This window comes from Homo sapiens, chromosome 22, assembly GCF_000001405.40.
Source record: "Homo sapiens chromosome 22, GRCh38.p14 Primary Assembly".
NCBI classification, from domain to species: domain Eukaryota; kingdom Metazoa; phylum Chordata; class Mammalia; order Primates; family Hominidae; genus Homo; species Homo sapiens.
The window spans coordinates 44,813,011-44,840,027 of NC_000022.11; the positions used below are offsets into that span (position 1 = coordinate 44,813,011).

Sequence of the window (27,017 nt, forward strand, 5' to 3'; positions counted from 1 at the left end):
GTGCTTCCTTTACTTTCTGGCACAGGATATGCCAGGCTTATCTTGTATTTTTCTTGCTCCAGCTCAGGAATCTGCCATTCTCCAAGGAGCACAGTCGCCCTGGCTCCCTGTAGTGGAGAATGCTATTTAGAGACCAAGATCTGGACAAGCGGAGTGCTTGTTGCTTTTGGGGTGTTATGGCTCCCAGGCCCTTTCAGTGGACAGAGTTAGGGTATGTGTGTGTGAATGTACATATACATACACTTACACACACACACACACCCCTACATACACACATACACACCTGGATACAGTACATACACCTGCATACACATACATACAGACACCTACATATACATACACTTACACACACCTACATACACACATACCCACCTACAGTACATACACCCACATACAGACACCTACATGTACATACACTTACACCTACATACACACATACCCACCTACAGTACATACACCCACATACAGACACCTACATGTACATACACTTACACCTACATACACATACATATACACACCTACGTATACTATACACTTATATACACATACACCTACATACAACTACACACACACCACTTACAGCTACATACACCTACACACACTTACGCTTACTTATATCTACACACACCTACACACACACCCACACACCTAAATACACCTACACACCCCTAGGTATACCTACACATATGTAGGTACACCTACACACACTTTCATACACTTACACCTACACACACCTACATACACACCTATATACACTTACACCTACATACACCTACACACACATACAATTACAGTTACATACACTTACATAGAGCTACACACACCTACACACTTAGACTTACATACGTCTACACACATACACAATTGGCTTCCAAAAATTCCTGAAATTTTGACAGCCCGTGTGAGTGGATAAGAGGTGGCTCTGGCGTCCTGCAGGCTGACCCCACGCAGGCCATGTGGATGCCCCTTCTCGCCTCCTGGGCTGTGTCTCCCCAGCAGGACACACCGTCCCCCACTCACCCTCTAGAGCCCTGGCATGTCCTCTGCCCCCATCCCCACCCTGGTTGGCTGCCTACCTTTCTTCCCCAACCTGATGGCTTTGGGCTGAAATATTCAAGAAGGAAGCATGGAGACTGGGAAGGAGGGAGAGAGAGAAGTTCACTGGGTGTTCCAATGTGTGGGTGGCTGTATTGCATTGAACCGGCCTCTGGCCGGCTGATGTTTAGGTTATTGCCGGGTTTATCTGCCATCATAACCAACACGGTGAGCTCCTTCTAGCCCAGGTCAGCTCCTGGCAGGGCAGGTGTTGGCCAAGAGGCTCTGTGCGGTTTTAATTCTGAGAGCTGTTGCCAAATTGCCCCCAGGATGTGCTCCAGCCACCCCCGACCCTGGTGTGAGTGAGCGCCTATAAACAGGGCTCCGACTTGCAGCTGTGCCTCGGCGAACTAAAGCGCTGCAGGCATGCCTGGCGGGGGCAGCAGGTGAGGGGTCCTGATTTTCCCCGAGTTTATTTCATTCTTTGTTTGATGTCCTTAAATTGATCCTGTTGAGAGGAGTAACATTCTGAGACTCACAGTGGAGGCAGCTGTTTCAGGGTTATTGGGCGTGGGGTGTTTCTCGGAGCGCGGCAGCCTGAAGTCATCCCCCGTTTCCCTCCTCAGGTACAAGAAGAACTTGAAGGCCCTCTACGTGGTGCACCCCACCAGCTTCATCAAGGTCCTGTGGAACATCTTGAAGCCCCTCATCAGGTATGCGTCACTCTGGGAGAGGACCTCGCTGGGGTTGGAGGTTTCACCCCTCAGGGTCCATGGGACGGCCTTCCCTATCCACGCATCATGGAGGGCCCGTCTCCAGGGTGCCTGTGTATCTGGGGCTCCCTACCCGCCCTGGGGTCTGCGGGGGGTCACAAGGCCAGCCCAGGTCATGGACAGGAGTGCAGTGCCGGCCTTTGGCACCTGTGGGGTTTGCACCTGGTGTTTAAAAGCCCCCCTTTGCCTGAGCCCCCACACTGTGTGACCACCCTCAGGTGCCGTGATTTTCCAGAGGGACTCACAGATGTCAGGAAAGCTGTTATCTTCACTGTTGTGGTCTGTTACAGAGACAGGGCACAGATTTAAGTCAGCAAAGGTAAAAGGCACACAAGGCTGAGTCCAGGAGGACCAAGTGCAAGTTCCCAGCTGCCCTCTCCGGGCGGATTCATACAGGCAGTGCTCCATTCTCCCAGCAGGAATGTGTGGGGGAGGAGGGAGCATGGCTGGCCGCGGAAGCTCACCGAGCCTTGGTGCCCAGGGTTTTTGTTGCGGGTCAGTCATGTAGGCACGGAGCATCCACCCGGCTGACCTCAGCCACTCGGTCTCCAGCCCCTCCTGAGATGAGACAAATAAAACCCACCCAAGGCCCCCGCCCTCAATCACATTGTTGGCACAAACTCTGTGGTGTTGGCCCAAGGTTCCCGGTGGGCAAAGACATTACCAGGCCGACTCTCCCAGGAGCTGAGAGGTTTCCACCCAGGAGCAGGTCACCCATGGCCAGCCTTCTCTTTGGAACGTGTGGGGCTTGGACACCCCCAGCCTGCTGAGTTAAGCCTTGATTGCATAGCAACCCAAATAAGCGGCCTAAAGAAAGGCAGCCACAGCCCGGAAATGTGGCGACTTCAGTCAGCTTCTTCCATATTTAGACTTGTTCCTGCTAAAGGATTTCTGCCTCAGTATTGGGAAGCAAGAGCTCAAGGGGCTCGTGAGGCCTGGGAGGCTCTGCCTGGGTCGCATGGGCATCTTGTATTTTCTTCCGTTTTGGCTGTATGCATCAGGCACAAACTGTGTGCACAGAGCCACATGACGGGGGTGGGGTGGGGAAGAGACTGACAGATGTCGTTCTTGCACGGTGGCTCTGGCCCTCCCTGGGTGAGTTCTGCAGGCGAGGGAGGGGCTCAGAGCAGGAGGGCGCAGGTGTGCACCAGACGGGTCAGGATAGCCAGGTGAGGTGGCTGCCTCTGTGAGAGGGCGGGAGGACTCCTGGAGGGCCTCCCTAGGATGAAGCCTCTGGGGACAGGGAGGCGCATCCCTGGAGGGGTCGTCATTCTTCCCCAGAGGTTTGCATCTCACAGGCCTTTGCCATCTCCCCCCTCGGCTCCTTCCACTTGTTGAAGCCCACTCGTGGCTCTGAGGCTGCTGCTGACACAGGTCTCTTCTCGTGCCCCACAGACACCGTGTGAGTGGGTGTGACGCTCCGTGTACAGGGAGCACTCAGACAGAGCTGGAATGCCAGCTGGGACCTCGGAATCCACACTGTCTCCTTCCCATTTCCCCATCCATCCCTGGGAAGCATCTCGGCCCCCCAGGAGCATGGACAGCTCAGGCTCTCAGGCACCTGCCTGTCTTCCCACCAGCCGTCTCCCGCCCCAAGGGCTACACTGCCCCGTCCCACCCTTGTCCCTGTGTCCCTTTGTCTCTTAATGTGACTGGTACTCAGAGGAATGTTGGCAAGCACTGGTCCTTGGGCACATCGAGAGCTACTCTGCAGCCAGACACAGTGGCTCATGCTACTAATCATAGCACTTTGGGAGGCCAAGGCAGGAGGATCACTTGAGCCCAGGAGTGTGACCTGGGCAAGAAAGTGAGCCCCACCTCTATAAAAAATATAAAAATTAGCCGGATGTGTAGCATGCGCCTGTGGTCCCAGCTACACGGGAGGCCAAAGCAGGAGGATTGCTTGAGTCCAGGACTTCAAGGCTGCAGTGGCTTGTGTTTGTGCCATTGCATTTCAGCCTGGGCAACAAGCAAGACCCTGTCTCAAAAAAAAAAAAAAAAAAAAAGAACTGCCCTGCCAGGCGGCTTGGAGCCTTTCTTTTCTTTCTTTTTTCTTTCTTTCTTTCTTTTTTTTTTTTTTTTTTGAGACGAAGTCTCGCTTTTGTCCCCCAGGCTGGAGTGCAATGGCGCCATCTCGGCTCACTGCTACCTCTGCCTCCTGGGTTCAAGCGATTCTCCTGCCTCAGCCTCCCAAGTAGCTGGGATTACAGGCACCTGCCACCACGCCTGGCTAATTTTTGTGTTTTTAGTAGAGACGGGGTTTCACCATGTTGGCCAGGCTGGTCTCAAGCTCCTGACCTCAGGTTGATCCACCCGCCTCGGCCTCCCAAAGTCCTGGGATTACAGGCGTGAGCCACCATGCCCGGCCTTCTTTTCTTATCAGCTCCCAAAGCTGTCATTCCAGGGACTGAATCGTGTGGTCCTGAGGCACACTGGGAGAATTCCCAGAGCAGCAGACTTGAGTCAGCTCCTGCTTAATAGAAGGAGAGATTTTTGGGGCCAAAGAGCTCCTTTCATGTCACTAGAATTTCCTGCCAGTTTTTCTCACCTACTGGCCTATGCCGCACACATTCCCCTATTGGAAGGTGAGGTTTTGTTTGTGTTTAACCAGGCCCAGCACCCTTGTGCCCTATGTGACATGTGACATATTTGACATAGCAAAAAAGCTAGTCCTGTCATTTACCTTAGAAAAGTCCTTAGAGGGGCTGGGCGCAATAGCTCACGTCTGTAATCTCAGCACTTTGGGAGGCTGAGGCTAGCGGATCACCTGAGGTAAGGAGTTCAAGACCAGCCTGCTCAACATGGCAAAACCCCGTCTCTACTAAAAACACAAAAAATTAGCGGGTGTGGTGGTGGGCGCGTATAATCCCAGCTACTCAGGAAGCTGAGGCAGGAGAATTGAGGCTTGAACCCACGAGGCAGAGGTTGCAGTGAGTCAAGATTGCACCATTGCACTCCAGTCTGGGTGACAAGAGCGAAACTCCATCTCAAAAAACAGAGAAAAGTCCTTAGAGGGCGAGGCATGGTGGCTCACACCTGTAATCCCAACACTTTGGGAGGCCAAGGCAGGTGGATCACTTGAGCCCAGGAGTTTAAGACCAGCCTGGGTAACATGGCGGAACCTCGCCTCTACAAAACAGATAAAAATCAGCCAGGCATGGTGGCGCGTACCTTAGTCCCAGCTATTCAGGAGGCTGAGGTGGGAGGATTGCTTGAGTTCGAGAGGCAGAGACTGAAGTGAGCTGAGATAGCACCACTGCACTCCAGCCTGGGCGACAGAGTCAGACTTTGTTGTACTTAAGAGTTCTAGAAACCTCTAAGGTTCTTGGAAAAAAAGTTCACCTGCTTGGCCAGGCACAGTGGCTCACGCCTGTAATCCCAGCACTTTGGGAGGCCGAGATGGGAGGATCACTTGAGGTCAGGAGTTCGTGACAAGCCTGACCAACATGGTGAAACCCCGTCTCTACTAAAAATACAAAAATCAGCTGGGCGTGGTGGCGCATGACTGTAATCTCAGCTACTTGGGAGGCTGACGCAGGAGAATCACTTGAATCCAGGAGGCAGAGGTTGCGGTGAGCCGAGATCACACCATTGCACTCCAGCCTGGGCAACAAGAGTGAGACTCCAGTCTCAAAAAAAAAAAAAATTCACCTGCTCCTCCTGTTTTCCACGTGGCAGCGTGATGGTGATGGCACCAGACTGCCTGGGCTCGACTGCTCTGCCCCTTGCCATCCATTACCCATTACCCTCAACAAAAGAGCCAACCCCTCTCTGCCTCAGTTTCCCCATGTGGCTGACAAGGCTATTTAAGTCATTCCATTGTCATAATAATTCACTGACTTAATACATATAGTGTTTATTTTATTTTTCTTCCTTCCTTCCTTTTCTCTTTTTTTTTCATAGGTTCTTGTTCCATCAGCCCGGCTGGAGTGCAGTGGTGCAATCATGGCTCACTGCATCCTTAACCTCCTGGGCTCAAGTGGTCCTCCCACCTCAGCCTCTCACATAGCCGGGATTACAGGTGCGCACCACTGTGCCCAGCTAGTTTAAAACAATTTTTTGTTGAGACAGGGTCTCGCTATGTTGCCCAGGCTGGACTGGAACTCCTGGCCTCAAGTGATCCTCCTTTCTCAGCCTCTCAAAGTGTTGGGATTATAGGAGCGCACCATGTTGACTGTTTAGAATAGGGCCTGCCAGGCAAATACTCAATGTTAGCTGCTAGTACTGTGTTTTTTGTTTGTTGTTGTTTTGTTTTGTTTCATTGCTTTGAGACAAGGTCTCAGTCTGTTGCCCAGGCTGGAGTGCAGTGGTGCCATCACGGCTCACTGTAGCCTCGAACTCCTGGACTCAGGTGATCCTCCCACCTCAGCCTTCCAAGTAGTTGGGACTACAGGCACGCCACCATGCCCAGCTAAATTTTGAACTTTTAGTAGAGACAGGGTTTTGCCATGTTACCCAGGCTCCTCTCCAATTCCTAACCTCAAGTAATCCTCCAGCCTCGGCCTCTCAAAGTGCTGGGATTATAGGCATGAGCCACTGCACCTGGCCCTGATTTAAAATGTTTTTAAGTTGGCTGGGCGTGGTGGCTCACCCCTGTAATCCCAGCACTTTGGGAGGCCAATGTGGGCAGATTACCTGAGGTCAGGAGTTCGAGACCAGCCTGGCCAATATGGCGAAACCCTATCTCTATTAAAAATACAAAAAATTAGCGGGGAGTGGTGGCAGGCGCCTGTAATCCCAGCTACTCAGGAGGGTGAGCTACGAGAATCGCTTGAACCCGGGAGACGGAGGTTGCAGTGAGCCAAGATCGCGCCATTGCACTCCAGCCTGGGCAATAAGAGCGAAACTCCACCTCAGAAAAAAGAAAAAAAAATCTTTTAAAACTACCCTTTTGTATTAATTTGATTCCAATATCTTACGCACCTTATGTGCCAGCACCGCAAAACAGTACTGTGAAGTCAGCCACATTTTCCCCATTCCAAAGAAGAGGAGGTTGGTGCTCAGAGAGGTTACGCCCAAGTCGCACCATGAGAGGGGGCGTGGGCTGGGATCCAACCTGAGCCTGTGTGGTTCTACCCCTCATTCTGCCTCATGCCTGGACATAAGCAGCTGCCAGGAGAGGACCATAGGAATTGGGCTGGGGCTCTGGAGCCCAGATTGGGCTCCGCAGCCCATTGCCTGTGAGATCTTGGGCAGCCACATAACCTCTCTGTTTCCCAAGTCCTCATTTGTAAATGAAGGAAGTAGAGGAACTCTGAGGCCCTGGGTCTCGCCAGACCTCCTGACTCAGATCCCCGCAGGTGGTGCCTGTGGCTGCAGGTCTAACAAAACCCCAGCAACTCTGCCGCACGCCGTGTTGGGAGCCCCTGGCTGAGCTGGCCTGTGGGCCCTTTCCCGAGAGGAGAGGCAAGTGGCAGGGCCCTGGCTGCACCTGTCCCAGAGTCCGTGTTTGGCAGAGCCTGGCCTGCAGGACAGGTCAGGGAGGTTGCAGAGAGGAAGGTGAGGGGCTGGGCATGGGAGGCCTCCCTGCAGCTCTGAAGCGGGCACCTCTGTCCCTGAGAATGGTTCCTGCAGAGGGGCAAGACTCCCTTTGCCCTTAGTGGGTTCCTCCCGCCCATCACACAGGACGTTGACAGTACTTCACAGCCCCGGGGACACCCTCCGGCATCCTTCCAGCAGAGACCAGACTGTCCCCGAGTCCTGTGGCGTCTAAATGGGCAGGCGGTGAGGACACTCCTGCAGGGGTCCCACCAGCCCCTTCCCTCCGGGGGCTGGGGTGCAGGCACTAAGGCAGGCCCCGCTTTCCTCCCTCCCCTTGTGCTTGGGGTGAGGGGCACACTGCACTTTGGTGGCTATTCTGCAGCCCCAGCCTTCAGCCCGGGTTCCCTGGCCTACCTGGCAGTGTCCTTGAATACAGAAACCTGGCAATCCCCGCCCTCCTCCCTCAGCCCCCGGGTCCGATTCTTTCTCGTCCACTAGGGGGAGCCAGTGCACACAGCTCGGCCTCCCTCGGGGCTCCTTTAGGAACCACCTGGCGCTGGTGCTGGCGCTGGACTGAGCTGTGGGCTGAGCTTTGGGCTGAGCACTGGGCGGCCGCTGTCCCTTTGGATTCTCCTACCTGTCATGATCTCCGTATTTTTTGTTTTTGCCACGGTAACTTGAATTATTTTGATTTCACAAAATAAACGACATTGAAAATACATGAATACTTATTTCAAGACTTTCAAATTGTCATAAAATAACATAAAATATCTTCGGTTTGGCTGAATACATAACTTTCCTTTTCCAGTAACAACATAATTCTTTACCCACATTAATAGTTGTATATCTTGGCCAGGCACGGTGGCTCATGCCTGTAATCCCAGCACTTTGGGAGGCCAAGGCGGGCGGATCACGAGGTCAGGAGATCGAGACCATCCTGGCTAACATGTTGAAACCCCGTCTCTACTAAAAATACAAAAATTAGCCAGGCGTGGTGGTGTGCACCTTAATCCCAGCTACTTGGGAGGCTGAGGCAGGAGAATCACTTGAACCCAGGAGGCGGAGCTTGCAGTGAGCCGAGATCACACCACTGCACTCCAGCCTGGGTGACAGAGCGAGACTCCATCTCGAAAAAAAAAAAGTTGTATATCTTAAACATATACAATAAAGAAATAATACTGTCCTCCAAAATAAAACTCAAATGATATATTTATGGCAAAAACCAAACCTAGACTATCATAAAGAAGGCGGGGATTACAGGCTTCTTATAAAGGCGTGCTCGCATCCATCTGTCAATGATCCCCACTTTGCAATTCATGCTGAGCCTTGTTACTAATAGCAGTCGTCACAGCGAGCATGTCCACCAGACGTCAGGCAGTGGACTAGACCTGCAAATAGCCTTGCATTGTCTTCCGCCCTCACTTAGGAGGGAGAACCCCCACTTTCAGACCCAGGCCCTGAGAGGGAGTGAATTGCCCTGGGGCACAAGAGGAGGGAGAAGACGGAGTTGCTGCACCTGGTCAGGGCATGTCTGGCCTTGTGGCTGCGCTGCTCCCTGGGGTCCGAGAGACTGTCCTGGAGACAAACCTGGAGAGCCTCATTGGTTCCTCTCCTTAGAAGAGGTGGCCAAATGTGAAGCCACCACTGACCCCAAAACCGCGAGCAACTGAGGCTGCCCTGGGGCAGGCTTCAACCTCAGAGCTGCTCTCTCTGTGCCAGTGGCTTAGTGCCCCCTGTCTAGCCTGCATCCCCCAAAAGCGCTTCTTGGCACTTCCGCGCTATCTCCTATATGCAAATTCAGGGCAGATGTAAATTGGAGGCAGATATTTATTTTTATGCAGATGAGCCACTCCAGCGTGTTTGGTGCATTGGAGATCTCGTGAAAGCAAAATATCTCCCGGCGTGCGCTGCTTGTGTTATGTTCGGGTTTTAAGTCGTGTCAGCGTTTACATTTTCTTAATATGAAAAATGCCTGCATTGTTCTGCCGCCAACTCCCCCTCCCTCCCTGCAACCCTCGGCCTCTCTGCTGGCGCCTAATCGTTCTTTATTCTCTTGCTTCTGCTTTCTTAGTCACAAGTTTGGGAAGAAAGTCATCTATTTCAACTACCTGAGTGAGCTCCACGAACACCTTAAATACGACCAGCTGGTCATCCCTCCCGAAGTTTTGCGGTAAGTGCCTGTTAGACCCCAGAAGCCGCATCAATACATCTTCGTGCTTCCAAAGGGCTTGGTTCAGTCCCATGAATGTTTAAGGCTTGATTTCCAAATGTGTGCTTGGCTAGATTTGGCTCAGAAATCTGCGGCATCGACAAAGATCCGCAGCAAAAGGTGCTAACTGCTGACTCAGAGAAATGAAATGGCAAAGGTTGTATACAGGACGGGATGTTTTCCTCGCCCACCATTGCAAAACTGATTTAAAAAATAAGCCCTAACATGGCAACGGCCGTTTGTTGCCTTGGTGTTTACCGTTTTTGCTTTTGAGCAGAAAATTAGGAGAATTTCCCAGGCGTGTGGATAACGCTGTGTACAGAATGAAGTGTTCTCAGGGACGTCACGGGTGCTCTAGAAAACGACCTGTCTCCTGGATGCTGAAAGCTTAATTGGTGTGTCTGCTACAAGGCTTAAATGTAGGCCCAGATGAATAGAGGCTGCCCAGAAAGGCGTATGCCACACAGCCAGTACAGGGCGCGGCCAGATCCAGCCTGGGTCTCTGGACCCCCAGCCTGGGTTCCCTCTGCCCCTGTGTCTCCCTCTCTGAGGCGCTCCTTTGAAGGAGCAGGCCCTTGCCAAAGTACGTGCAGGGAAGGCTGGTAGCCTTGCAGGGGTAATGGAGATAATAACTTCTCTCCGGACGCCAAGTCACATGGCAGGTGCTGGGATATAGAGGTGTTTAGGGAGTGTGGTCTCTGCCCTCATGACACTCTCAGACTAGTGAGGGCCACAAATCAGTGATGACAGGGGCCAGAGGAGGCACAGAACCCAGCTGGGGAGGGGACTGGTGTGTGGGGGTAATCCAGGAAGACTTCTAGGAGGAGGTAGCTCTTAAAGTGAGTTTCACAGGGACAGTTGGCTAGATGAAGAGGCCAGGGAAGCACATTTCCAGCAGAGGGAAGCCCTCCTGCAAACATATGGGTGAAATATTGGGAGATCTGGAGGCAGTGAGAAGTCCCATGTGATCAGGCAGAAGTTGGTGAACGTGAAGCTGGAGGTCACCTTGGGCCGGGAGTCCTTGGTGCCAAGCAGAGGAGAGTGAACTGGACCTGGAGGCCATGAGAGGATGATGGGAATCCCTGGTCGCCCGTGGGCCCTGGCAAGACCCCACTCCCAGACCTCACTAAAGTGATCCGGGGGAGTCCATGGAGACGGCTCAGAAGATGTATTTGTAGCAGCTCTGTGGTGGAAGTGATTTGGTCTGGTGACAAAGGGTAACTCACATCCTCCTGTGTGGGAGAGTGATTTGGGGATGAAATGGACGGCATCTGTGAAACACGCAGCTCCGGCTTCTCAGTGGGTACTGGGTGCAGTCTAGGGCCTCTGGAATGTGCAGGTGGCTGGCAACACTGAGGGTGCAGGGTCCTGTGAGTCAGAGGGGATGAGGTTTGGGAGAGGGGCTTGGGCTTGGGCATTGGGAGCTCCTGAACTTACTCAGTAGGCAGCCGGCACCCCTGTTCCATAGCCATGCAGCAGAACCCCAGAGGACACGTCCAATGCTGATGCTTTTAAATGAGCAGCTTCTAGACTGGGGGTGGGGCTGAGTCTGGATTTTCTCCACCCCCACATACTTCCTGGTGGGTGCTGCGAGCACCAGAGGCTGAGACCCACTGGCACAGCGGCAGGGCAGGGCCTTGGGGTGCTGAATCCTGGCTGTCATCCCAGCTTGTGACCTGGGGCATGTCACCAGACCTTGACAAGCCTCAGTTTCCCAATCTGTAAAGTAGACAAAATAACCCCTCTACAGTAGGCCCCTCATGAGGGACCGAGACATCTCTGGGGAGCCACTTGGGGCGCAGAGCGCTGTGATTAACTCACAAAAAACAACCGCACGTGGTAGCAGCTCACACGTGCTTGGCTGGCCAGGCTCAGTCCAGTGCACCACCTTCTCCGCAGACCTTTCCTGCATTGTCGGGTGCCTAACCCTGCACCATCTTGTGTCACTGACTGCCTCACTCCCGAGCTGCCAACTAATGGTCATGTGCCCCCCCATCCTGTGGCCGGGTCCCTGCTGTATGCACAGTGCCCGGCACATAGTAGGGCTTCAATACGTATTTGCCTGTGTTAAGGAAGGACTGTTACCTGAGCACAGAGGGTCTTTTCTTTTCTTTCTTCTTCTTTTCTTTTTTTTTTTTTTTTGAGATGGAGTCTTGCTCTATCGCCCAGGCTGGAGTGCAATGGCGCAATCTCGGCTCTCTGCAACCTCCACCTCCTGGGTTCAAGTGATTCTCCTACCTCAGCCTCCCGAGTAGCTGGGATTACAGGTGTGCACAACCATGCCCAGCTAATTTTTGTATTTTCAGTAGAGATGGGGTTTCATCATGTTGGCCGGGCTGGTCTCAAACTCCTAACCTCAAGTGATCCACCTGCCTCGGCCTCCCAAAGTGTTGGGATTACAGGCGTGAGCCACCGTGCCGAGCACAGAGGTTCTTTTCACCCGAAGGCTTTAACCACCTCCTTCAGAGTTTATCCATCCTTTTCAGAGTCCATCTGTTCATTCATGGGTTTCTTGTTTCATTCAACAAATATTTTAATTGAGCATCTAGTAGGCAGCAAGCCCTTTCCAGGCACTGGGGATAAAGTAATTAACAAAAGGGACGAGGTTCCTTTAGCATTACCGGCCAGCTCTCGTCTTAAATTCAGACACTTGCGAGAGCTGAGGGTGGTCACGCCCACCTTGGGGCTGACCGCATGGTAAGCAGGTGAGGCTGCTCTGCTGGCCAGGGGCCTCAGGAGAGACTGGACATTTGCTGGAGGTTGGACTACTGCCTCTTATGCGAACAGCCCACAGCAATGGGGGATTGTGACTGTGTGTATGTGAGTGTGTGTGTGAGCTGGCAGTGTGGCACGTGCGCCCAGAGGGATGAGATGCCCAGGTGTCCTGCAGGTGGGGCATCCAGCCCCACCCAGCGCCTCCGTGGCTGCCAGCTGCCCCTGCCAGGTGAGATCCCAGCCTCTGTTGTGTCTACAGGTACGATGAGAAGCTCCAGAGCCTGCACGAGGGCCGGACGCCGCCTCCCACCAAGACACCACCGCCGCGGCCCCCGCTGCCCACACAGCAGTTTGGCGTCAGTCTGCAATAGTAAGTGAGCCGGGGATGTGCCTGCTCCTATGCCCTGGAGCCCTGGGAGCTGTGGGGCGCTTCTGGGTCCAGAAATATTTTCCCCAGACGTTTGTCTCCAGCAGCCAAGCTGAACCCTGCAGGAAAGATAAAGCCTGAGCTCATCACTGAGGCCGTGGCTCGCTGCTCAGTGCCTGGTTGGGGGGGCGCGTGCTCGCTGCTCGGTGCCTGGTTGGGGGGCGCATGCTCGCTGCTCGGTGCCTGGTTGGGGGGCGCGTGCTCGCTGCTCGGTGCCTGGTTGGGGGGCGCGTGCTTGCTGCTCCGTGCCTCGTTGGGGGGGCGCGTGCTGGGTGCCTGGTCGGGGGGGTGCGTGTCACTGCTCTGTGCCTGATTGGGGGGACCGGCAGTGGGTAGTGGATGGGGGTCTCTGGGGTTCCCGCCCCAGCTTCCATCACTGCTGCCCCCTGCCCTCCGGGTACACAGACACTTCCCACCACCTTCAAGGAGGGCGTGGTCATGGGATGTGCTTAGGTGTAGGTGTGGGGTGTGTCGTGCTAGGAGGAAGCTTCCAGAGCCAGTGGGCAGCTGCCTCTCATGGTGATGTATAGGCCTGGGTCCGGTAGAGACGGCACGTGGTCACTCTGCATCCCTGATCCCCGCATCACCATGCACCTTGCTAACACCCAGGCTGGACACAGGCATAGAGAAGACAGGCTTGTGCTGGGCTCAGCCGCTGAGATTTAAGGGTCATTGTTACCGCAGCGTAACCTGTCCTTCCTAATACCCTTTATCAGCCACATGACCTTGAACTCACCTCTTCTCTCAGCTTGTTTCCTTATTCCTGTTATACTACCTTTTTTTGGGGTGGCGGGAACAGAGTCTTGCTCTGCTTCTCAGGCAGGAGTGCAGTGGCACCATCTCAGCTCACTGCAACCTCCGCCTCCTGGGTTCAAGCTATTCTCCTGCCTTAGCCTCCTGAGTAGCTGGGATTACAGGCGCACACCACCACGCCTGGCTAATTTTTTTGTATTTTTAGTAGAGACAGGGTTTGGCCATGTTGCCTGGCTGGTCTCGAACTCCTGACCTCAAGCGATCCACCCCTCTCAGCCTCCCAAAGTGCTGGGATTGCAGGTGTGAGCCACTGCACCTGGCCACCCAGGGTAGATTTTGAAACATTTTGAAAGGTTTTGAGAACTGAGGAGGCTCTGGGCGGCATCTGGGCCAGGGGAGGAGGTGCATCGGTCACCTGCCCTTACTGAGCCATGTGGGCAGGGGCATTCCTGGGGTTAGAGGGAAGTGGATTCGGCCCTGGGGACCTGCCTGTTTCTTTCTTGGCCAAGAGTGGAGGAGCTCAGGGAGGCCAGGGAGGGAGGCAGAATCATGGCCCCCGACGAAGTCCATGCCCTCATTCCCAGAACCTGTGATTAGGTCACCTTACATGGCAAAAGGGGCTTGGCAGAAATGATTAAGTAAAGGATCTTGGGATGGGAGGTTATCTTGGGTTCTCTGGTGGGCCCAAAGCAATCGCCAGCGTCTTTACAAGAGGGAGGTAGGAGGGTCAGAGTCAGAGAGGAGATGTGGCAGCAGAAGCAGAGGCCGGAGGGGTGCGGGGCCAGAAGCCAAGGCACTCAGGCACCTCTAGAAACTGAAAAAGGCAAGGAATGGATTCTTCCCTGGAGCCTCCAGGTGGAACACAGTCAGGTCAACCCCTTTTTGACTCCTGACACCTCCAGGATGTGGTGAGATAATACATTTGGGTGGTGGTTTTTTTTTTTTTTTTTTTTTTTTTTGAGACAGTCTCGCTCTGTCCCCCAGGCTGGAGTGCGGTGGTGTGAGCTCAGCTCACCGCAACCTCCGCTCCCCAGGTTCAAGCAATTCTCCTGCCTCAGCCTCCCAAGTAGCTGGGATTATAGGCGCCCACCGCCATGCCTGGCTAATGTTTGTATTTTTAGTAGAAACGGGGTTTCACCATGTTGGCCAGGCTGGTCTTGAACTCCTGACCTCAGGTGATCCACCTGCCTCGGCCTCCCAAAGTGCTAGGATTACAGGTGTGAGCCACCTCGCCTGGCCCATTTGTGTTGTTTTAAGCTACCAAGTTGACGGTAGTTACTGGGACCACATGAAAATAAAGTAGGTGGTAGTGAGTGGTGGGTAGTTGCGAGTATAGGGGGAGGGAAGTGTGTCTAAATCTTGTTCCCAGAGCTAGCAAGTTTGCTTCCAGGGTGCTTGAGCCCAGGAGAGGGCCGGGCCTGGAGTGCAAATGTGAAGTTGGCTGGGCATCTCGGGTGTATCACAGCTAAAGAGGACTGCTGGTGCCCCAGCGTCGGTCCCTAGACCAGCATTATCTGATGGAACTCTCTGTCAGGATGGACGAGGTCTGCACGGTCCAGTATGGTAGCCAGTGCTCGCGTGCGGCTAGTGCAGATGCTGAATTGCTAATTTTATTTCATTTTAACTAAATTAGAATCATCACATGTGACTTGACTGTCGTACTGCACTGCACAGCTCTGACCGATTCACCCTCGCCTTCCCTAACTAGGCGCACACACGAGGAGTTGTACTTAAGACATTTTGTAAGCACTTTGCCAATAAATGAGCAAGAGACTATATGTTGAAATAGAATGTTCACCCCAAATATATCTGGAACACACATTTTACTACCAAATAGTACTTCCTTTTCCTTTTTCAGACATTGTGAGAATTTGCGGGTGCGAACAACTCTTGCACTCCCACCACCCCTTAGGGGCCGCCCAGGAATGCTGGGCGGGGCAGGCACCTGCAGTGACCTCGGTCCCCTCCTGGGGGCACTGGTGAGAACTCAGCCCTTGACCAGGCTCAGCCAGCAGACCAGAATTTTTTTTTTTTTTTTTTTTTTTTTGAGACAATTTTTTTTTTGAAATGGAGTCTCACTCTGTTGCCCAGGCTGGAGTGCAGTGGCAGGATCTCGGCTCCCTGCAACCTCCGCCTCCCGGGTTTAAGCAATTCTCCTGCCTCAGCCTCCTGATTAGCTGGGACTATAGGCGTGCGCCACCACACCTGGCTAATTTTTTTTGTATTTTTAGTACAGGCAGGGTTTCACCATGTTGGCCAGGCTGGTCTTGAACTCCTGATCTCAAGTGATCCACCTGCCTCGGCCTCCTACTGGGATAACAGGCGTCAGCCAGCACACCTAGCCCGGGCCAGGATATTCCAGCCATCAGGTGACCGTTTTCCCCACGTTCCTGAAGCCCTGTGTCTCCAGCCCGTTACTGGGGCTCTGCTGGGCTGATACTGCTTCCATGTGCTGTGGCACACAGGGTCCCAGGGGTGGGTCTTTAGCTGGGAGATTCCAGCCACGCCTTTCTCGTCTCTTATCTTATTGTTTAGAGCCACTTCTCTCTTCTTATCATCTAACAAAACTTTAAAAACGAAAAACAAAGCCCGGGTGCGGTGGCTCATGCCTGTAATCCCAACACTTTGGGAGGCTGAGGTGGGTGGATCACCTGAGGTCAGGAGTTCAAGACCAGCCTGGCCGGTATGGTGAAACCCTATCTCTACTAAAAATACAAAAAAAAAAAAAAAAAAAAAAAAAAGTTGGGCATGGTGTCACACACCTGTAATCCCAGCTACTCGGGAGCCTGAGGCAGGAGAATTGCTTGAACCTGGGAGGCGGAGGTTTCAGTGAGCCGAGATTTTGCCACTGCACTCCAGCCCAGGAGACAGAGCGAGACTCCCTCTCAAAAAAGAAAAAAAAAAAAGAAAAAGAAAAAACAAGCATAGCTCACAGACTTCGAAAGCCGTCTACCTGAGTGAAGTGTGGGAAAATTGTTAGCCATGGCTGTAGGCCTCTCGGCTCCTAGAAGGCTACCAGAGATACCATTAGCCCTGCATTCTGAGCAGGTGCCTTTCAGAACGTACTGATGCAGGGCTGTTGGCTTTAACTGTCACTTTGCCATAGTCCATCCCTCTCCCAGGGCCAGTTGTAACTGTAAAAGTCCGGTCCTTAGCTGCTTTTGGGACAATGGGCCACACTGCGCGTGCAGCTTGGAGAGAGAATCCCTGCAGTTGCCTCTTTAAATTAATATTTTATGTGGTTTCATTGCCAATGATTATAATAAAATGGCAATAAACATTTTAAAGGAAGCACTAGATATGTAATTTGTTTGGACTATGAATGAATGAAAGTCATTAAAATTCATAACTGAATCCTATTCACAAATGTTAATTTGCCAAGTTCAAAAGCTTACAGCAGAAAGCTATCACCTTAGAATGAGCTAATGAAGTTAATATATTAAAGGGAAGTCAAAGATTCAAGAGGTCTTTGCTTGCCATCCCTGAAAAGGAAAAATGGAAACCTGAGGCCTGTGTGGGCACCTGGGGGAGGCAGGTACAGGGCAGAGCTTGAGATGTCCTTAGGCTGGGTGGGGCAGGTCATGGCTGAGCTCTGGCATTTTCTTTTTTTTCCTCTCTCTCTTTTTTTTTTTTTCCCTGAGATGGCGTCTCACTCTGTCGCCCAGGCTGGAGTGCAGTGGCACGATCTCTGCTCACTGCAACCTCTGCCTCCTGGGTTCAAGCAATTCTCCTGTCTCAGCCTCCCGAGTAGCTGGGACTGCAGGTGCACGCTACCAAGTCCAGCTAAGTTTTGTATTTTTAGTAGAGACGGGGTTTTGCCGTGTTGGCCAGGCTGGTCGCAAAGTCCTGACCTCAGGTGATCCACCCGCCTCAGCTTCCCAAAGTGCTGTGATTACAGGCGTGAGCCACTGCACCCGGCTGTTACTGTTTTTTATTTTTATTTTTTTAGACAGAATCTCGCTCCATCACCTAGGCTGGAGTGCAGTGGCACAATCTTGGCTCACTGCAACCTCTGCCTTCCAGTTCGGATGATTCTCCTGCCTCAGCCTCCTGAGTAGCTGGGATTACAGGTGCCTGCCACCATGCGAGCTAAATTTTTTTTTTGCATTTTTATTTTTTATTTTCTTTTATTTATTTTAGTTTTGTTTTCTGAGACAAAGTCTTGCTCTGTCACCCAGGCTGGAGTGCAATGACACGATCTCGGCTCACTGCAACCTCCACCTCCTGGGTTCAAGCGATTCTCCTGTCTCACCCTCCCGAGTATGTGTGACTACAGGTATGTGCCACCATGCCCAACTAATTTTTTTGTATTTTTAATAGAGACGAGGTTTCACCATGTTGGCCAGGCTGGTCTCGAACTCTTGACCTCAGGTGATCCACCCATCTCGGCCTCCCAAAGTGCTGGGATTACAGGCGTGAGCCACCGCGCCTGGCCTGTTTTTATTTTTTATCGTAGCCATCCTAGTAGGTGTCAAGTGTAGTTCATTATAGTTTTGTTTCACATTTCACTGATGCCTAACGCTGTTGAGCATCTTTTCATGTATTATCGGCCATTTGTTTACCTTCTTTGGAAAAATGTATATTCACTAGATCGTTTGCCCATTTTTTGTTTGGACCGTCTTTTCATTGTTGTAAAGATTTGTTGATATATGCTAGACCCTAGGCCCTTATCAGATGTATGGTTTGCAGATGTTTTCTTCCGTCCTATGTGTTGTCTTTACACCTTTTGATGGTATTTTCTGAAGCATAAAAGTTACATTTTGATGAAGTCCAATTTATTTATTTTTTTCTTTTGTCGCTTGTGCTTTTGGTGTTTTATCTAAGAAATCATTGCCAAATTCAAGGCCGTGACAATTCATGCCTATGTTTTCTTCCAAGAGTTTTACCACTTAGGGGTTAGATTTGGGTCTTTGATACATTTTGAGTAGATTTTTCTACATGTTGTGAGGTGAGGTCTGATTTGCTTCTTTGCGTGTTGTTACAGCACCACTTGTTGAAAAGACTTTTCCTGGCCAGGCAGGGTGGCTCACGCCTATAATCCCAGCACTTTGGGAGGCTGAGGCGGGTGGATCACCTGAGGTCAGGAGTTCAAGACCAGCCTTACCAACATGGTGAAACACCCATCTCTACTAATAATACAAAAAAATGTGCTGGGCATGGTGGCAGGCACCTGTAATCCCAGCTACTCCGGGGACTGAGACAGGAGAATCGCTTGAACCTGGGAGGCGGAGGTTGCAGTGAGCCAAGATCATGCCATTACACTCCAGCCTGGGTGACAAGAGCAAAAGTCATCTCCAAAAAAAGAAAAGAAAATACTTTTCTTTCCCCCATTCAGTTGTCTTGGTACCTTGTCAAAAACCAATAAACATGAGGGTTTATTTCTGGGCACTCTAATTCTTGCCTATTGGTCTATATGTTTATCCTTATGCCAGTGCCACACAATCTTGATTACTGTAGCTTTGTAGTAAGTTTTGAAATTGGGAAGTGTGAGTCTGTGAGTCCTCCAACTTTTTTTTCAATATTGTTTAGGCTATTCTGCATCTCTTTAATTTCCATATTCATTTTAGTATCAGCTCGTTAATTTCTGTAAAAGGCAGCTGGGATTTCAATAGGGCTTGTCCTGGGTGTGTAGACCAATTTTGAGGGTATTGCCATCTTGAAAATAGTAGTCTTCCAATCCATGAACATGGGATGTCTTTCCATTTATTTGGGTCTTTTAACTTTTTTTCAGTGGTATTTTATGGTTTTCACTGTACCAGTTTTTTGAACTTTTTTGTTAAATTTTTTTTTTTTAATTTGTGATGCTATTGTCAATGTAATTTTTTTTTTTTTTTTTTTTTAAAGACAGAGTCTTGCCCTGTTGCCTAGGCTGGAGTGCAGTGGTGCAATCTTGGCGCACTACAACCTCTGCCTCCTGGGTTCAAGTGATTCTCCTGCCTCAGCCTCCCAAGTAGCTGGGACTACAGGTGTGTGCTACCACGCCTGGCTAATTTTGTATTTTTGGTAGAGATGGTGTTTCACCATGTTGGCCAGGCTGGTCTCAAACTCCTGACCTCTGGTGATCTGCCTGCATCAGCCTCCCAAAGTGCTCAGATTATAGGCATGAGCCACCACACCCGGTTGTCAATGTAATTTTTAATCTATCTTTTTGTTACTGATTGCTAGGTTCTAGAAATACATTTTTTAAATATGTTGATCTTGTATCATGCAACCCTACTGAACTTGTTTATTAGTTCTAATATTTTTGTGTGTGGATTTTTTAGAATTTTCTATATCCAGGATCATGTCATCTGCAAATAGAGATGGCTTTACTTCTTCCTTTTCAACCTATTGCCTTTTATTGCCTGATTATGCCTGACTGTAACCTCCAATACATTGTTGAATAAAAATGATAAGAGCAGACATGGTTGTCTTACTCCTGATCTTAAGAATCAGCAGTTAAGCTGGGCTAAGCAGCATGTACCTATATTCTCAGCTATTTGGGAGATTGAGGTGGGAGGATCACTTGAGGCCGGGAGTTCAAGACTAGCCTGGACAACATAGCAAGACCCTGTGTCTATTAAAAACACACACACACACACACACACAAAAGAATCAACAGTCCTTCACTACTAAGCATAATGTTAGCTGTGTGCATTTCATAGATGCCCTTTATCAGGTTAAGAACCATCTTTTTTCTTTTCTTTTCTTTTCTTTTTTTTTTTTTTTTTTGAGATAGAGTCTCCCTCTGTTGCGTAGGTTGGAGCACAGTGGTGCAATTATAGATCAGTGCAACCTCAGATTCCTGGGCTCCAGTGATCCTCCTGTCTCAGCTTCCCAAGTAGCTGGTACTATAGGTATATACTACCATGCCTGGTTAATTTTTAAATGTGTTTAGTAGAGACAGGGTCTCACTATGTTGCCCAGGCTGGGAACATCATTTCTATTTCTAGTTTGTTGAGTGGTTGGTTGGTTGGTTGGTTGGTTTGTTCATGTAAAGGTGTTAGGTTTTGTGAAATGCTTTTCATCGCCATTGAGATAATCACATGGCTTTTGTCCTTTATACTGTTGATATGGTGTATTATATTGATTGATTTTTACATGTTGAATAAACCTTGTATTCCTGGGATAAATCATTTGTGTTCATGGTGTATAATCTTTTTCATATATTGCTGGATTTGCTTTGCTTGTATTTTGTTGAGGATTTTGTATTTATATTTATAAGAGGTATTAGTTTGTCATTTTCTTGTCTTATGATATCCTTGTCTGGTTTTGGTGATACTGGCCTCAGAATGAGTTGGGAAGTGTTTCCTCCTCTTCTATTTTTTGGAAGAATTTGTACCATATTAGAGTTAATTTGTTAAACATTTTACAGAATTCACCACTGAAGCCATCTGATCTTAGGCTTTACTTTGTGGGAAGTTTTAAAATTACTAATGTAACCTCTTTGCTTGTTATATTTATTCAGATTTTATATTTCTTCTTGAGTCCATTTTGATTGTTTGTGTCTTTCCAGGAATTTGTTCATTTCGTCTAGGTTTTCTAATTAGTTGGCATGTAATTGTTCATAGTACTTCATAATCCTTTTATTTGTATAATGTCACTAGTAATGTTTCCTCTTCCATTCCTGATTTTAGTAATTTGAATCTTCACCCTTTTTTTCTTGGTCAGTCTAGCTAAAAGCTTGTCAATTTGTTGATCTTTTCAAGGAGTCAACTTTTGGTTTTGATGATGTTCTCTGTTATTTTCCTATTTTCTATTTATTTCTACTCCAGTCTTTATTATTTTCTTCCTTCTGCCTGTGTCAGATTTAGTTCATTTTCTTTTTCCAGTTTTTTAAGGTGGAATGTTTATCATTTTAGAATCTTGCTTTTTGCAATGTAAGCATCTATGGCTATAAATTACTAAGTCCTGCAATAGATGTATCTGTTAGTGTATTATTTCCATGATTTTAATTAATCTTAAAGTATTTTCTAATTTATCTTGTAATTTTTTTCTTTGATTCATTGATTTCTAGGAGTCTGTTGTTAAATTTTCACATATCTGTTTTTGATTTTTAATTTTATTTTATTATAATTAGATAACTTACTTTGTATGATTTAACTTCTTTCAGATGTATGGAGGCTTGTTATGTGGTATAACATATGGTCTAGCCTGGAGAATATTCAACGGACACATGAGAAGAGTGTACATTCTATTATTGTTGGGTGGAGTGCTCTATAAATGTCAATTAAGTCTACTTGGTTTTTAGTATTTTTCAGTCTTCTGTTTCTCTGTCAATTTCTGCCTAGTTGTTCTATTTATTATTGAAAGTGGGGGATTGAAGTCTCCAGTATCATTTTAAAATTATTTATTTCTCCCTTCAATTATGTCTGTTTTGGCTCCACATGTTTAGGGGCTGTATTGTTAGGTGCATACATTTTTATGATTCTTACTTTCTTATGAATCCTTGCATGATGATAAAAAAAATGTCCTTCCTTGCCACTAGTAACAATTTTTGTGTTAAAGTCTATTTTGTCGGATATTAATATAGCCATTATAGCTCTTTTTAGTTACTGTTTGCATGGTGTATCTTTGTTCATCTCTTTACTTTCAACCTATTTGTGTCTTTGAATCTAAATTGTGTCTCTTGCAGACAGCATATAATTAGGTCATGTTTTTCCCCATTCCACCTTCTTTATTAGATTATTTAATCCATTTACATTTAGTGTGATTACTGGAGTTACATCTGCCATTTTGCTATTTGTTTTCTATATGTCTTTTTTGTTCCTTTATGTCTTCATTAATACCTTCTTTTGTGTTAAATACATACTTTCTAGTGTACTGTTTCAATTTTTTGTTTCTTTTGCTATATATATATATATATATTTAAAGTATTTTCTCAATTGTTGCCTTAGGGATTAGAATTTATATCTTAATTTATAACCATCTAGTTCTAATTAAGAAGGATTGTGGAGCCAGGCGTGGTGGCTGAAGCCTGTAGTCTCAGCACTTTGGGAGGCCGAGGTGGGCGGATCACGAGATCGAGACACTGAGACCATCCTGGCCAACATGGTGAAACCCCGTCTCTACTAAAAGTACAAAAAAAATTAGCCGGGCATGGTTGCAGGCGCCTATAGGCCCAGCTACTCAGGAGGCTGAGGCAGGAGAATCACTTGAACCGGGGAGGCGGAGGTTGCAGTGAGCCAAGATCGCGCCACTGCACTCCAGCATGGCAACAGAGTGAGAATCAGTCTCAAGAAAAAGAAGGATTGGGGACTTGCAAACTCTTCAGAGAATACAACTTTTGGGTGTTGTCTTCCACCCCGTGCTAACACTCCTTCTTTGCCACTGGAAGAAACTTGATCTGATGGTGATCTTATTAGCAAGCAGGACCATGTGGCCCTTTTAGTTTCTCCTTATCTCCCAGAGCCAAGGTGTTAACTGAGCCAGTGTTCACTTTTGTCAGAAAAGAACTGGTAAGTATCTGTCTTTCTAGTCTCTTTTTTCCTGTGTGCGTAGGATATGCTCTTCTTCGGTCTCCTGTACCATGTGGCTGTCTGGAGACTATACAATCCTTCTCTTTGCGATCGGCCTCCAGGGTGGGACACTGGCCTCCCATAGGCTCTGGTTCTGAGCCGTGTGTGCCAATCTGACTTGCCAGAACCTCTACCCCATTAGAGTTTTGGGGACTGACCTCACTAAGGATACCAAGCAGTTTCTCATTCCCCATCTGCCTGCAAAGAGGGGCAGCCCTGCAGATGTGAGACTACAGGATTCCAGTGCCTTGTTGCCACCTTTCACCTCACGACAGCTCCACCTCATACCAAATCACAACTCTAAATGCAAGACTGTGATCTGTACCTTTTTTTTTTCTTTCTTTCTTTTGAGACAGGGTCTCACTATGTTGCTCAGGTTGGTTTCAAACTCCTGGGGCCAACTAATGTTCCTGCCTCAGCCTCCTGAGTAGCTGGGATTACAGGTGTATTGTCACACTGCTTGTCTTTTGAACCCAGGTATAATGAGGACTTTGAAGTCAGATTTTAACTTGAACCCTGGCTCTAGTCAACCCTAGGCTGTGTGACTCCAGACATAATAATTTGCCTGAGCCTCAGTTTTGTCCTCTATAAAAATGGGGGCACAGTGATGCAGTGAGTGGGCTTTAGTATTGCACGTGGTGCACAGTAGGTCCTCAGTACACAGTAGGTCCTCAGTGCACAGTGGTCACTGTGATCGTTCACATGCACTGCCCATTTCTCTGGGCATCCAGGACCTCCCTGGCTGACTCTGTGACTGAGAACTTTGCAGGTCAGTGGTGCAAGCTGCAGCCATTCATCCCCTTTCAAATATTGGGAGGGGACGTGTTGTATTTAGAAGATGCAGGACCATCTCAGAGGGTTGGGAAAAGCCTGGGTGCCCAGCTGAGGCAGGCCTGCTCAGCACTCCCCATTATCACTGTAATTTCAGGTTGCCATTCCTCCCTCCCCCTTCCCTCCTGTTTCTTTCTTTCTTGTTTTGTTTTGTTTGTTTGTTTTGAGGCAGAGGCTCACTCTGTCACCCAGGTTGGAGTGCAGTGGCACGATCTCGATCTCGTCTCAGTGCAACATCCACCTCCCTGTTTCAAGCAATTCTCCTGCCCCAGCCTCCTGAGTAGCTGGGACTACAGGCGCGTGCCACCGTACCTGGCTAATTTTTGTATTTTTGGTAGAAACGGGGTTTCACCATGTTGGCTAGGCTGGTCTCGAATTCCCGACCTCAGGTGATCCGCCCACCTTGGCCTCCCAAAGTGCTGGGATTACAGGCGTGAGCCACTGCACCCAGCCCCTACTGTTTTTAATTAGTCACAATTTCTCCTTATTTGTGCATTCCTCGCATGCAAAACCAGAGAAAAAACATGCTCTGAATTACTCTAAGCACATCTCCCGAGGGGAGGGGTACAAGCAAGAATTCTATGCTGAGAGTCCCCGATGCCCTCCAGTGGGTGGACGACTGTCGGAAAGCCAGGTGGGAGTCACTGGCCACAGAGAACGCTGTGCTGACCAACAAACTGTGCTCTGTGCTCCAGAGTCCTCCTGCCCAGCATGCATCTTGGAACTTTAGTTCATGGTGTGGGTTTAATGCAGTTTGTGCATCCTTGCTGAGACGTGACCCTGGCCCGTGCACATTGAGATGCACGAGATGAACGTGGTGTGATACGATTCACCGGCGCCCTGGGCATCCCCACCCAGCCAGGAAACACAGCACATCTGCCAACCAGAGTCCCCTGGGGTCATTGCTATGCACAGCACTGACTCTGTCAGTCCATTGAACAAGCCTCTCTCTCCGAGCCAGCAAGTAGCGGATGGGCAGGGGAGGAGAAACCCAAATTGTGGGTTTCTGCTCTATGGAGAGTAGTAATTCGATGCCGGGGCCCTGTTCTTCCGCTAGCTGTGAGAGCCTCAGAGTAGATGTGGGTGCTCCTCAAATGCACGGGCAGTGGAAAACCCGCTTGGCTGGGAGCACGGCAGCTCTGGGCCAGTCCCTCCTCTTTGGGGACCTCAGTTTTCTCATCTGCCTGAGGAGGTTGGGCTGGATGATCTCAGAGTCTCTTCCTGCTCTGAGAGTCTTTTATTTTATTATTTATTTATTTTGAGATGGAGTCTTGCTCTGTCTCCTAGGCTGGAGTGCAGTGGCACAGTCTCAGCTCGCTGCAGCCTCCACCTCCCGGGTTCAAATGATTCTTCTGCCTCAGCATCCCAAGTAGCTGAGATTACAGGAGTGCGCCACCATGCCTGGCTAATTTTTTTTTTTTTTGAAGACGGAGTCTTGCTCTGTTGCCCAGGCTGGAATGTGATGGCACGATCTTGGCTCACTGCAACCTCCGCCTCCCGGGTTCAAGCAATTCTCCTGCCTCAACCTCCTAAGTAGCTGGGATTACAGGCACGTGCCACCACACCTGGCTAATTTTTGCATTTTTAGTAGAGACAGGGTTTCACCATGTTGGTCAGGCTGGTCTCGAACTCCTGACCTCGTGATCTGCCCATGTCTGCCTCCCAAAGTGCTGGGACTACAGGCGTGAGCCACCGTACCCGGCCTTAATTTTTGCATTTGGTAGTAGAAACAGGGTTTCTCCATATTGCCCAGGCTGGTCCGGAATTCCTGACCTCAAGTGATCCACCCACCCCGGCCTCCCAAAGTGCTAGGATTATAGGCGTGAGCCACCATGCCCCATCTGAGAGTCTACTTTTAAAGGACAGCACAGAGACAAAGCAGTAGGCAAAGGGGTCTTTCAGGAACTCGTCCTCATAACTCCACATTGTCCCGCCTGTTGAGTAGGACTCAGTGGGTCTCCCTCCCCGGGAACAGTAGCCAGCCAGGGCTTTGGAATCAATGGATGCAGGCTCTCCAGCTGCGTGAACCCGGATAAGTCACTGTAGCTCACTGGGCCCATTTGTTCATCTGTGACATGGACCACCTGTGTGCAGCCTGGGAGGCTGCTCAGCCCCTGGCATTGGGACAATTTTCGTCAGTGCCATTGGCTTGTAGCTCAGCAAAGCCTGCACCTCCCTTGTTGTTTAATATTTGCAGACCTTGGGGAGAGAGCGCCAGCATCTCTGCTTTCCAAATGGAGAAACTGAAGCTGGAGAGGATAAGGAAACTGGCCGGTGGTGATCTAGCTCCTACGGGAAGGGAGGGACAGGGTTTGAAAGGGTCTGTCTGGCTTCCTAAGGAACCAGAGAGGAGGAAAAGAGCCTGTAACTTTGGCACATCCTGGGAGAAAAGGACCTGCCTGCCACATTCCTCCCTCCCCAGGGACACTGTCTCTGTGGGCCCCAGGACGCCTTCTCCCTCCCAGAGAGGAAACCAAGATGGGAAGGAGGCAGGGGGCCAGGTCCGTATTCCTGCAACAGCAGGACCTCCTGAAGGTCACGCCAGCCCTCAGGGCACCTCGGGGAGCTGTGGATTGCTGCTCAGTGTCCCCAACGTGAAGCTTCAGCAAAAGCAAAATTGCCATGAAACCAAACCACCCATCGAGATTGGATATGCAGAAGCCTTATGGCTGTGGACAGAGTTCTAATCACCGTTTAAGTGGATTAGCAGATTCCTCTGTAAATCTTGGAATAAAACTAAAGCACACTCGATACCATGTGCACCTGATAAATCATCTGACATAGAGACGTTCCCAGGGGGCCGTGGAGCCCAGCAGGAGGAGCAGAGATGGAAACCCAGGCCGGGCTTGCCTCCCTGTGCCACCTCTCAATTGTGGGACCTTGAGCTGGTCACCTGGCCTCTCCTAGTGTCGTCCTCTGATCTCTAACTTGGGCTCATGAAACGATGGTGGAAATGAGGCAGACGATACACACGTGGAGGAAAGACTTCACACTCAGCCCGGTGGGTTTCATTCGGGCCCTTTTCATCATGACCGAGTCTTCCGTTACCTGTTACCACTTCACAGATTCTCCAGGACTTAGTGGTTTCCGACAGCAACCACGTCACACTTCTCCTGGTGTTTGTGGAATTTGAGCAGAACTCGGCCAGGCGAGTTTGCCCATGGGGCGTTGGCAGAGGGCACGTGGTGGTGTCCAGCTGGTGGCTGGCTAGGATCATCCAAGACATGCCTTATGTTCCTGCACCTCTGGCCTCAGTGGGGACTGTTGGCCAGTGCACCTGCCCGCAGTGTCCCCAG

At 49.8% G+C, this 27,017-nt stretch overlaps 2 protein-coding genes across 4 annotated transcripts in view, besides 3 other annotated features; both read left to right on the forward strand.

Moving 5' to 3' along the window:
• PRR5-ARHGAP8 (PRR5-ARHGAP8 readthrough) overlaps positions 1-27,017 on the forward strand; it is a 160,581-nt gene that overhangs the window by 110,807 nt on the left and 22,757 nt on the right. Inside the window, exons 8-10 of the mRNA NM_181334.6 lie at positions 1,662-1,748; positions 9,361-9,459; positions 12,473-12,583. Of these exons, the coding sequence (NP_851851.3) occupies positions 1,662-1,748; positions 9,361-9,459; positions 12,473-12,583 (297 nt within the window). The remainder of the gene's footprint in view (positions 1-1,661; positions 1,749-9,360; positions 9,460-12,472; positions 12,584-27,017) is intronic.
• Positions 1-27,017, forward strand: part of ARHGAP8 (Rho GTPase activating protein 8) — a 110,210-nt gene that overhangs the window by 60,436 nt on the left and 22,757 nt on the right. For all 3 annotated transcript variants that reach the window (NM_001017526.2, NM_181335.3, NM_001198726.2), the window contains 3 exons: positions 1,662-1,748; positions 9,361-9,459; positions 12,473-12,583. In NM_001017526.2, the coding sequence (NP_001017526.1) occupies positions 1,662-1,748; positions 9,361-9,459; positions 12,473-12,583 (297 nt within the window). The remainder of the gene's footprint in view (positions 1-1,661; positions 1,749-9,360; positions 9,460-12,472; positions 12,584-27,017) is intronic.
• Positions 2,781-3,409: an enhancer, noted in NCBI's record as "H3K4me1 hESC enhancer chr22:45211671-45212299 (GRCh37/hg19 assembly coordinates)". NCBI's record gives its function as "activates a minimal SCP1, AML or CMV promoter by ChIP-STARR-seq in primed H9 embryonic stem cells {active_cell/tissue: H9 hESC(primed)}" and the evidence as "EXISTENCE:reporter gene assay evidence [ECO:0000049][PMID:30033119]".
• Positions 7,765-7,864: a silencer, noted in NCBI's record as "silent region_13870". NCBI's record gives its function as "represses an Ori minimal core promoter by ATAC-STARR-seq in GM12878 lymphoblastoid cells {active_cell/tissue: GM12878}" and the evidence as "EXISTENCE:reporter gene assay evidence [ECO:0000049][PMID:35858748]".
• Positions 24,015-24,516: an enhancer, noted in NCBI's record as "H3K4me1 hESC enhancer chr22:45232905-45233406 (GRCh37/hg19 assembly coordinates)". NCBI's record gives its function as "activates a minimal SCP1, AML or CMV promoter by ChIP-STARR-seq in primed H9 embryonic stem cells {active_cell/tissue: H9 hESC(primed)}" and the evidence as "EXISTENCE:reporter gene assay evidence [ECO:0000049][PMID:30033119]".